The 12322-nt window shown below is 48.2% G+C and overlaps 2 pseudogenes; both read left to right on the top strand.

Annotated features, from left to right (window-relative positions):
* On the top strand, positions 49-3318 carry LOC101059962 (serine/threonine-protein phosphatase 1 regulatory subunit 10-like; annotated as a pseudogene).
* Positions 4833-6878, top strand: CDC27P2 (cell division cycle 27 pseudogene 2; annotated as a pseudogene).

Genomic DNA, 12322 nt, shown 5'->3' with positions numbered 1-12322 from the left:
GCGGCCTCCGGGCCTCACGAGGATGAGCCAGGAGTCCAAGTCGTGAGGATGGGCATGGCAGGGAAGGCAACGGGGTATGTGGGAGGGAGGGAAGCAACGTGGGGCGGTGGGAGGGGGGTGGTGGTGGGGCAAACCGGACATCCCATACACCCACATGACACAACATCCCCCGACCTGCTCACCACTCCGAACCCTTCGCACCAACGTGCGAGGAGGCAGACCACCCGACCCGTGCGTGGCAGCTGTGAGTGACCAGCAGCCACTCGTGCAAGGCCGGCACGGGGCGGCCCCAACGTTTGGGCAGCGAACCACAGGCGGACTGCAGTGCCCAGGGTCTCACCACCAGCGGCCTCCGAGCACGAAGGCGACCCTGCGCGGTACCAGGAGTGGTCGACTGGCCTTCGGCGGGCCTGCGGCTCCCCCATCGCCGCCGCCGTCACGGCCAGCCCCCGGAACCCTCTTTCCTGCACGCGCCGCAGGCTGACTCCAAACCCTCCGGGCGCCCACCAGGCCCACGCGGGGCGCCGCCCACCTGGTCCCGAAGGTGCACACCCGGGGACACGAACAAAGGGCCAACCAGTGGCCCCCGGCAGCGCCCCACAAGGCAGAGCTGGGTTTGGTCCCAGAGGGGGCCACCACAGCCTAAGCGGGTGAGCCGCTCAGGGAGAGAGGATCCGCGGGTGGGGTGGGGGTCACAGACAGGAAACACCAGGGACCGCGAGGGCAAGGTCACCCGGGAGCCCACAGAGGGGCGGCTCGGGGAGAAACCTCAGGCATGGCCGGGCCACCAGGAAAACGCGACCATGGGATCCCACCACCACAGACACGAGGGAGGTCCCTCGGCAGCCCGCCTAGGACGCCAGATGGCCCTCGGCACCCACCGAGACCCGCCTCACGAGCCCTGGTTCCCGCCATCGGGACCCCAAAGCGACCTCAGCCACAAACCCAACGCCAGGGCCACGTTGCTCATTTCTCGTCCATCCTCCCACCCGGTTAAGCTCCGGGAGACCGGCGTGGCCCCCACTTGGGATGCTTCCCAGGGCCAGGTGGCCCAACCCCGTGCCACGCAAACACGGTCATCGGCACCAGTCGCTGCTCCCCAGGCGAGCGGGCGGAGAGCCGGCTCACAGTGGAGCGGGTCATGCGCCGGACGGAATGCCAGGCACAGCCACCGCTTGCATAGCCTCCCAACCGCTAGGACGCCGGCACCGACCGCTGGGATCCTCCCCCATCTGGAAAGGATGAGCCGCCCCCAGTCCCCACCGCGGAGGCCTGTGGAACCCTCCATCTCCCCCCCTCACCCCGTCGAGGGGGAAGCGGAGGAGGGTCCTCTGCAAGCGAGTCGCTATGGCAGCGCTACCATAACGCAGAGAGAGGCGGCAGGCCGGGGGATCCCGTACCCCAAATGCACACCTCTTGGATCGCTACAGAAGGCTTTCTCACTGAGGGTGGGTCACACTCCCTACCCCCAGTCGCCCCTCGTCAGGCCCGCAGAGGTGCTCAGGGACGCCTGGGGAAGGGAGGGGGCCTGCATACCAGGAAAATTCTGCGTGTGGGAACCTTGAGCCGTCGCAGTCTGGGCGGGGGTCCTGACCACTGCGCGTGCGCGCAATCCCGCAAGGGCCCCCGCCCCGTCCACCCGCCTCCTTTCTCCCAGGCAAAGCACCTCCAAGTAAACCCACACACAACCTGTCGGAGGCAGAACGGTAGCCCCCTCGGCGGCCGGCCGGCGCACGCGTCGCCTGCCCGAGCCCACCGCGATCGCTCACACAGCCAGCGCGCACCCACCAGAGGGGAGCACTGGACCTGAGTTCGCCAGACCAGGCGGAGCCCTTCCCTGCATGGGAGGGGCACGTCTCCATCTACCGCCTCAACCCCCACACCAACGAGCTCCCTTAGGACCCATTTGCAGACACCGCGGCGGTGACTGGAGGAGGGGGCGCTGGGGGTGGGAACCACACAGCACTGCTGGGCCTCAGGCACCTGAGGGATAAGCTGGAGGGGGGAAGGGGGAGCCGGGCGCGGTAGGCTCACGCCTGTCATCCCTGCCCTTTGGGAGCAAGGGAAGGTGGATCCCTCGATCCGGAGCCTTGGCAACATGGTGAAATCTCGTCTCTAAAAAAATACAAAAACTACGTGGTTTCCTAACCTGGACACAAAGTTAATAAATAGATAAATAGGCCGGGCGCGGTGGCTCACGCCTGTAATCCCAGCACTTTGGGAGGCCGAGGCGGGTGGATCACGGAGGTCAGGAGATAGAGACCATCCTGGCTACCACAAGAACCCCGTCTCTACTCAAAATACAAAAAGTTAGCCAGGTGTGGTGGCGGGCGCCTGTAGTCCCAGCTACTTGGGAGGCTGAGACAGGAGAATGGCATGAACCCGGGAGGCAGAGCTTGCAGTGAGCCGACATCATGCCACTGCACTCCAGTCTGGGCAAGAGAGCGAGACTCCATCTCAAAAAATAATAAGAAGATTAAATAGATTAAAATTGAAAATTAAAAAAAAAAAACATAGCCGGGCGGGCGCAATTGTTCACTCCTGTCATCCCAGCACTTTGGGAGGCCAAGGTGGGCAGATCACCTGAGGTTGCCAGTTTGAGACCCGCATGACCCACATAGAGAAATGTCGTCTCTACTAACAATACAAAATCAGCCGGGTGTGGTGGCACACGCCGGTAATCCCAGCTACTCAGGAGGCTGAAGCAGGAGAATTGCTTGAACATGGCAGGAGGAGGTTGCGGTGAGCCATGACGGTGCCCTTGCACTCCAGCGTGGGCAACAAGAGTGAAACTGTCCAAAAAAAATAAAATAAGTGCTGTATTCTGTAATTTTTACTTCCTACCCTGAGAAGAACATAATACAGCTGTTGTCTTTCTGCCTGCCTGCCTGCCGGCCTGTGACAGGGCCTCACTCTGTCTTTTGCCGAGACTGGAGTGCAGTGACACCATTATGGCTCACTCACTGCAGCCTCAACGTCCTCAGGGTTAGGCAATTCCTCAAGGGATCCTACAGCCTCAGCCTCCCAAAATGTTGGGAGTACAGACGTGAGCCACCAGCACCCCGCCTGAGTTAATACATCTGGTCTCACTACATCTTAACCACACACCCATGAAGAACTCAAGTCAAGAGAGAGTCTGTAAGAGACTCTCAGCATTCTCTTCTGAAAGCAGTGAGGTGGATGGCGGCCCTGTGTCCTGAGCTCCTGGGGTTTTAGGTGACCATGCATAGAGGAGAGATTTCCAGTGTTTCCAGAAAGGCACGAGCCACAGTCACTGGGGCATCCGAGCACAAGATGGGGTTTCTGACAGCGACGTAAGGGCCAGGAAGGGCCAGAATCTGCCAAGGCCCATGTCCCAGGCTGGGGCCAATGGAACCCAAGGTAGAGGGAGTCAGCAGTCCGCACAGAGAGAGCTCCAGCCCTAGGCCCCACTATGCAGACCAAATCAGAAGGAAGAGAGTCCTTCATCCTACATGCCACATCCCTCCACTGAACTTGGGAGTGCATTCGTTTTCCAAATATGAGGTGACTCTTGCTTTGCAATGGATCACAAGGGGCTGGGCTTCCCAGAGTTGGCAGGGTAAAGAAGTCATTCTGGCTTGGCCTCCCCCATCCCCTGGTAACTGGTGAGTTTATTTATTATTATTATTATTATTATACTTTAAATTTTAGGGGACATGCGCACAATGTGCAGGTTAGTTACATATGTATACATGTGCCATGCTGGTGTGCTACACCCATTAACTCGTCATCTAACACTACATATTATCTCCTAATGCTATCCCTGCCCCCCTCCCCCACCCCACAACAGTTCCCAGAGTGTGATGTTCCCCTTCCTGTGTCCATGTGTTCTCATTGTTCAATACCCACCTATGAGTGAGAACATGTGGTGTTTGGTTTTTTGTCCTTGTGATAGTTTACTGAGAATGATGATTTCCAATTTCATCCATGTCCCTACAAAGGACATGAACTCATCATTTTTTATGGCTGCATAGTATTCCACGGTGTATATGTGTCACATTTTCTTAATCCAGTCTATCATAGTTGGACATTTGAATTGGTTCCAAGTCTTTGCTATTGTGAATAGTGCCACAATAAACATACATGTGTATGTGTCTTTATAGCAGCATGATTTATAGTCCTTTGGGTATATACCCAGTAATGCGATGGCTGGGTCAAATGGTATTTCTAGTTCTAGATCCCTTTGCCATCCCCATCAAGCTACCAATGACTTTCTTCACAGAATTGGAAAAAGCTACTTTAAAGTTCATATGGACCAAAAAAGAGCCTACATCTCCAAGTCAATCCTAAGCCGAAAGAACAAAGCTGGAGGCATCACACTACCTGACTTCAAACTATACTACAAGACTACAGTAACCAAAACAGCATGGTACTGTTACCAAAACAGAGATATAGATCAATGGAACAGAACAGAGCCCTCAGAAATAATGCCACAAATCTACAACTATCTGATCTTTGACAAACCTGAGAAAAACAAGCAATGGGGAAAGGATTCCCTATTTAATAAATGGTCCTGGGAAAACTGGCTAGCCATATGTAGAAAGCTGAAACTGGATCTCTTCCTTACACCTTATACAAAAATCAATTCAAGATGGATTAAAGACTTAAATGTTAGACCTGAAACCATAAAAACACTAGAAGAAAACCTAGGTATTACCTTTCAGGACATAGGCCTGGGCAAGGACTTCATGTCTAAAACACCAAAAGCAATGGCAACAAAAGCCAAAATTGACAAATGGGATCTAATTAAACTAAAGAGCTTCTGTACAGCAAAAGAAACTACCATCAGAGTGAACAGGCAACCCACAAAACTGGTGAGTTTAAATGAGCCCAGGCTGGCCGGGCCGGAGACGCTATTGAGGGGAGGGAGGTGGGAGGGGTGGAAGGGGTACCTGAGGCACTGCAGAAATTGGGTCTGAGCCTCGAGGATGACGGTGCTGCAGGAACCCGTCCAGCCTGCTATATGGGAAGCACTAAACCACTATGCTTACCTAGATGGGGTTTTCCCCGCAGAATGCCTTTATGCAGAAGTACACTCAGAAGAAGCCTTGTTTTTACTGGCGACCTGTTCTTACTACCCAGGAAAGGCCTATAACGCATATAGTCTCTTCAAAGTACACAGTTTTCCTACACCGCAATGCAAATACCTGCTTGCAAAATGTTGTGTTGATCTCAGCAAGCTTGCAGAAGGGGAACAAATCTTATCTGGTGGGGTGTTTCATAAGCAGAAAAGCCATGATGATATTGTTACCAAGTTTGGTGATTCAGCTTGCTTTCCCCTTCCATTGTTGGGACATGTATATTGCAAGACAGATCGGCTTGTCAAAGGATCAGAATACTACCAAAAGAGCCTTAGTTTAAATCCTTTCATCTGGTATCCCTTGAATCATTATGTGAAATAGATGAAAATCCATATCCTGACCAAACATTTAAATTCACATCTTTACAGAACTTTAGCAACTGTCTGCCCAACTCTTGCACAACACAAGTACCTAATCATAGTTTATGTCACAAACAGCCTGAGACCTTTCTTACGGAAACACCCCAGGACACAACTGAATTAAACAGATTGAATTTAGAATCTTCCAATTCAAAGTATTCCTTGAACACAGATTCCCCAGTGTCTTCTATTGATTCAGCTGTAATTTCACCTGATACTGTCCCACTGGGAATAGGAACTTCCATATTATCTAAACAGGTTCAAAATAAACCAAAAACTGGTCGAAGTTTATTAAGAGGACCAGCAGCTCTTAGTCCATTAACCCCAAGTTCTGGGATTTTGCCATTAGAAACCCCAAGTCCTTGAGATGGATCCTATTTCCAAAACTACACTGATACACCTTCTGTAATTGATGTGTCATCCACCGGAGACCCTTCAAAAAATCTGTTGCCAGAATCGGCCAAACTGCAGCAAAATCTGTCTTCTCACAGAGTGGAAATAGCCGAGAGGTAACTCCAATTCTTTCACAAACAGAAAGTCCTGGTCCCTAAACAAGTACAACACCTCAGGTATTGAGCCCCACTATGACATCTCCCCCAAATGCACTGCATCAAAAAAGTTCACAACTCTTTACTAGTGACAGTTCCACAACCAAGAAGAATAGGAAGAAATTAAAAATGAAGTTTCCACTTAAAATCCCAAACAGAAAAACAAAAAGTGAAACAAATAAAGGAGGAATATCTCAGCCTAATATAAATGACAGCCTGGAAATTACAAAAATGGACTCTTCCATCAACTCAGAAGGGAAAATATCCACAATCACACCTGAGATTCAGGCATTAATCTACAAAAAGCAGCAGCAGAAGGCTTGATGAGGCTTCTTCCTGAAAAGGGGAAAGGTTATTTAGCTTTGTGTTCATACCACTGCAAAGAAGCTATAAATATTTTGAGCCATCTACCTTCTCACCACTACAATTCTGGTTGCGTACTGTGCCAAATTGGAAGGGTCTATTTTGAACTTTCAGTGTACATGCAAGCTGAAAGAATATTCTCAGAGGTTAGAAGGATTGAGAATTATAGAGTCAAAGCCATGGAAATCTACTCTACAACACTTTGGCATCTTCAAAAACATGTTGCTCTTTCAGTTCTGTCAAAAGACTTAACAGACATGGATAAAAATTCACCAGAGGCCTGGTGTGCTGCAGGGAACTGTTTTAGTCTGCAACAGGAACACGATATTGCAATTAAATTCTTCCAGAGAGCTATCCAAGTGGATCCAAATTATGCTTATGCCTATACTCTATTAGGGCATGAGTTTGTCTTAACTGAAGAATGGACAAAGCATTAGCTTGTTTTTGAAATACTATCAGAGTCAATCCTAGACATTATAATATATGGTAAGTGGTAATGAAGTGTAAAGACAAAGTCTTGTTGATGGTGCTGGTAGTCAATAATTTTTTTTGTTAGATAGCTCTTTATTGTCATGAATGTGGTTACTAATACTTAGGGGTGATACATACTGTTCAATAACTTCAAACTAACATGTTTTCTTATGAAATGAATGTCTTTAACAAACTCTTAAGTTAACTAATGATAATAGAATACCAGATCCTTACACTCAACATTTTCAGTCTTCTACCAAACTTTTGCAGATACCGTAGTTGGGTTTTGTTTGTTTGCTTGTTTAGTTTTGTTAATTGATTTGCTACTTTTTCTTCGAACACAGAAATGGTGATTGGGACAAAAAGTGCTTGGGAAATTGGAAAGGAATAGCATAATTCACTTACTGGGTAATAGAAAAAAACACTGAAAAAAATCACTAGTTGCTGCTTTTTGACAGTGTTCCAGTTTATTGAGTTACTATTAAGAACTTAGTGTACCCTTTTATTTAGCAGTATCTCTATTTTACTTTTTTGTACTTGGGTATAAGTAGACACATAGGAAATTACTACCAGGTCATATTGTTATCAACTGAATAACATGAAAAATTTTGATCCTACTTCTGCCTCAACACCATACTTACTGTTGACATTTATTGTATTTTTTCTGGACTGACTTAAAAGCTTAAATATCAAGAGAATGCCAGGCACGGTGGCTCATGCCTGTCATCCCAGCACTTTGGGAGGCCGAGGCGGGTGGCTCACAAGGTCAAGAGATCAAGACCATCCTGGCCAACATGGTGAAACCCCATCTCTATTAAAAGTATAAAAATTAGCTGGGCATGGTGGTAGGTGCCTGTAGTCTCAGCTACTCAGGAGGCTGAGGCAGGAGAATCGCTTGAACCCAGGAAGTGGATGTTGCAGTGAGCCAAGATTATGCCATTGCACTCCAGCCTGGGCCACAGAGTGAGACGCTGTCTCAAGAAAAAAAAATACAATAAAATAAATAAATAAATAAATATCAAGAGAAAGTATAATTCTGAAGTCATAACTCTGTGGTAGTTTTTGTCAGATACGGTTATCTTTGGGGTTAATTATTATAGCAGTGGTTTATCACTTGATTTCCTTCTAAATCTGAAGCATTATATTACTAAAACATTTTTTGATTTGTGAATATGTTGTTTAATGGATTATATCTCATTTTACAGTAGTAGTTGCAGTGCCTGAAAGATTGCCAAAAAAAGTGCTAGCTTTTGCTAACCAATGTAACAATCAACTTGCCAATACTGCCTTCTCTTCCGATAGCTATGTTCTCCGTAATATTTTAAGAACTCAGTTCTTCATAAGACTTGTGTTGTTTTTGATTTTTTCTCAAGTCTGGTTGATCCTTGTGTTGTTCTTTTTTAAATGTGTATTGTCTGTTCAGCTATTTTGCAAGAGGCGCATTCTTAAAAAACTTAACCATATCAAAAATTGTGTTTAAAGGAGGATTATTCAGATCGGCAAGCTTTTACTAGGAGAAGTTTAAATGCTGACTTATTTAGGTAACTCTAAATACTGAGCAACTTTATTCTAACTACAAAATAGATAGACTTTCTTTTGTTTTCACTTTCATTATCATTATCACTGTGTTTAATACCTTTTCTTCATCTATAACACAATTATAATGATACACAAAGCCACTCAAATAAAGCAGATATATTTTGCTTAAAAAAAAAAAAGAAGTCATGATGTGACACACAATGAGGTGTGACTCGAATCTAGAATCTCCAGTGAAAACCGATGAAACAGGGTCAAACCCCATGTCTACTAAAAATAAAAAATGAGCCGGGCATGGTGTCACTGAGGCAGAAGAATCGCTGGAACCCAGGAGGCAGAGGTTGCAGTGAGCTGACATCACGCCACTGCACTCCAGCCGGGGGGTACAGAACAAGACTCCATCTCAGAAACAAACAAACACACAAAGACAATAAAGGTGTTTAACTCAATGTGTCAGGCTCAGGTCTCTTGACAGGATACATCCAGCACCTGGGGAAAGGTGGAGGGGTGTGGTGGAATCTATTCTGTGGCCTCAAGGAAGGGTTTGAGAGATAGCCCCGCAAACGTGATGGCCTAAGGAAGCCCCTCCGCCCAAGAAGCGATATTCATTTGCATCCTGTAGCCACCCACGAGGGAGAATCAGGCTTTCTACAGACCCCCCAACCCCCACCCCACCCCACCGCACCCCTCTGCCTCGTGAAATGAGCTCTCCCTCGGTCAGGCTCTATTAACGCCATGTGGTTTTATAACCTCCAGCGTGTGTGCCTGGGTTACAGGATGGGGTGGGGCCAGCTGTGGACAAAGGAGGTGATAAAGCGGCGGTGTCCCACGGGTGCCCGGGACGTGGGACGTGAGTGGGGTGGCCAGAGCCTAGGGAACTCATCGCCTGTCAGGACGCCTTCCCTCCTGGTCCCCTCTCTGACCTATGCTCCACATCTTTGCAGTTCAGTGGGGACCTTGTGAGTGGAAGTCGCCATCCCTTTGGACTTTAGCTGAGGACGGCAGGGCTCCCAAGAGTCTCCCTGGAGTCGGGCCCTTGGGCAGGCTCACAAGGATGCTGACAGTGATGATGACGGTGATGTAAGTTGGAGGCCTTGGGCCAATGCAGAGGTATCCATTTGACCTCAGTGGGAGAAGTCAGCTTTGCGGAGTCCCATGCTTCCTTCCAGAGACTCATCCAGCACTAGCAAGCATGGTCCCAAGGATCCCAGCTCCCAGCAGAGGCACTTTTGTTCACACAGGATCCTGGGCAGGAAAGTTCTCAGCAGGTTTAGGCCTCCTAGCCAAAAAGCCAAAGCCACCTCTGGGATTTTTTTCAAAGGGCCAGTGGTTCCACAGTGGGCTGTGGGTAGTTGTGGAAATGGAGAGAAGTGTTTGCAGATACATATTTGAGACAGAACGGACAGGGCTTGGTCACAGGTCATGTAGGACACGAGCAGATGCACATTGAGAAAACCCTCCCAGCATCCTAGGTGAACAGATATATGCCTTTTTGAGACAGTTGAGGGAGAGGCAACCCCAGATTTTAGGGTTGGATCTTTATTAATATGTAGTATCTATGAGGTTTCCAAGTCCAGAAATCAACTCACCAGTTCTGTACAGCATTCTGTAGGGAGATCATATCTGGGATGTCTAAAGTTAAGAATTCAGGCCATGGTAATGGATTAGATTAGATGTACTTGAACTTATTTTGCAAAGAAAGAGAGGGCGGGAGATAGCAAGAGCGAGAGAGTGAGCAAGAAAGAGAGAGACAGAGACAGAGAGAGACAGACAGAGAGATACAAAGATACACAAAGAGAAAAAAACAGAGAGAGAGAGAGACAGACAGACAGATAAAGACACAGAGAAAGACAGAGATGGACAGAGAGAGAAACAGAAAGAGAGATAGAGACAGAGAGAGAGACAGAGAGAGAGAGAGACAGAGAGAGACAGACAGACAGGAAGACCGACAGGCAGAGAAAGAGAGTAAGACAGAAGGCAGACACACACACAAAGAGAGAGAGACAGAGACAGATGGAGAAACAGAGAGAAAGAAAGAGACAGAGAGAGAGACAGAGAGAGAAAGACAGAGACAGACAGCGGGAGAGAGAGAAACAGACAGAAAGAGAGAGACAGAGACAGAGAGAGAAACAGACAAGGAGAGAAAGAGACAGACAGACAGACAGGCAGAGAAAGTAAGACAGAAGACAGACACAGAGAGAGAGACAGAGAGAGAGAGACAGAGAGACAGAGACAGAGAAACAGACAGGCAAAGAGAGAGAGAGAAAAAAACAAGAGAGAAAAAAACAGGGAGAGAGAGAGACAAACAGAGAGACAGGGAGAGAGAGCAAGAGAGAGAGACCAACAGACAGACAGACAGACAGGCAGAGAAAGAGAATAAGACAGAAGACAGACACAGTGAGAGAGACAGAGAGAGAGAGACAGAGACAGCGAGACAGAGAAAGAGAGATACAGACAGAAAAAGAGACAGACAGAGAAAGACAGAGATGGACAGAGAGAGACAGAGAGAAACAGAGAGAGAGAGACAGGCAGGCAGAGAAAGAGAGTAAGATAGAAGACAGACACAGTGAGAGAGACAGGCAGAGAGAGAGATAGAGACAGAGAGAAAGAAAGAGACAGACAGAGATGGAGGGAGAGAGACCGAGAGAAACAGACAGAAAGAGAGACAGAGACAGAGATGGAGAGAAACAGACACGGAGAGAGAGAGACAGTGAAAGACAGACAAGCACAGAGAGAGAGACAGACAGGCAGAGAAAGGGAGTAAGACAGAAGACAGGCACAGTGAGAGAGACAGGCAGAGAGAGAGAGAGAAATAGGCAGAGAGAGAGAGAGACAGAGAAAGAGAGAGACAGAGACAGACAGAGAGACAGAGAGAGGAGGAGGAAGGGCATGATCAGGAAATAATTACACATATTTTATAATGCTTTTGATCCCGTAAACGGTGTCTAGGGTGGTCTTTGAAAACAACAACAACAACAGCGACAAGAGCAACAGCAGCAGCAAGAGCAGCAGCAGCATTCACTTACGTATTTCCAGAAAATAAGATGCTCTGAAGTATAGTAAATATCAACCGGCTCTCACCACACGTTGAGAGATTCACAAAAGCGCTAGTTAACAACAGGAGAAAACAGCAGCTAACATGTCTTGGGGAAAATATATGTCCTCCTGAAAACTGGGGATTTCTACTTCATCTGAAAAGAAATACATACGAAAAAGGAAAAACACAAACAAAACAAAACAACAAACACGGACCAAGGCACCGTCCCTGGAAATCTTAAGTGAGCAAAGTATTAGTTTTCAGAAAGCGTTTCAATTTTGGGCAAATACTAAGAAGGTCCAGACTAGAGCTGTGACCCCATTCCCATTGTGAAACTATGCCAGCAGGAGGGCGAGAAACTAAAACATCATGATAAAAAGTGATTGAGACCCAGCCAGGGTGAAGCTTTCCTAGGGAGGGAGGCCTGAAGAAGGAAGCTGGGGAAAACCCCAAAACTGCAGACCTGCCCGCTTGCCCACACGGGTCAAGGGCTATGCCATCGGCCCAAGCTGTCTCTGGGGAAGTGGGACCGTGCCACCCCCATCTTCAAAAACCATGGCCACTGAGTGAGGCCTGACGCCCAACGTTGCAAATGTCAGCCTGGCAAGAATGAGATCTCTGGCAAGGGGTGGGAGAAGGGGAGAGAAGAGGGAGGCGCACCTGGGTGGCTCTGGAAGGTTTCCAAGCAGGGTGTTGGGAGGCGGGGGGTAGGGGTTTTGGGGGGAACCCACCTAAGTGATTCACTAAATGAAGGTAAAGGGACATAGGTAATGGGGGGAGCCAGGCAGCGACTTGAAAATTAAATTGACCCCTCCTAAAACCCAAGTAGAAGAGTCAATGCGCATGAAAGAAACCAACACACAAAGAAAACTAAAGCGCTAATCAAAGAACAATAGGGCCCCCGCC

Source organism: Homo sapiens, chromosome Y (assembly GCF_000001405.40).
Source record: "Homo sapiens chromosome Y, GRCh38.p14 Primary Assembly".
Lineage (NCBI taxonomy): Eukaryota > Metazoa > Chordata > Mammalia > Primates > Hominidae > Homo > Homo sapiens.
This window is presented reverse-complemented; position numbering and strand designations above follow the sequence as displayed.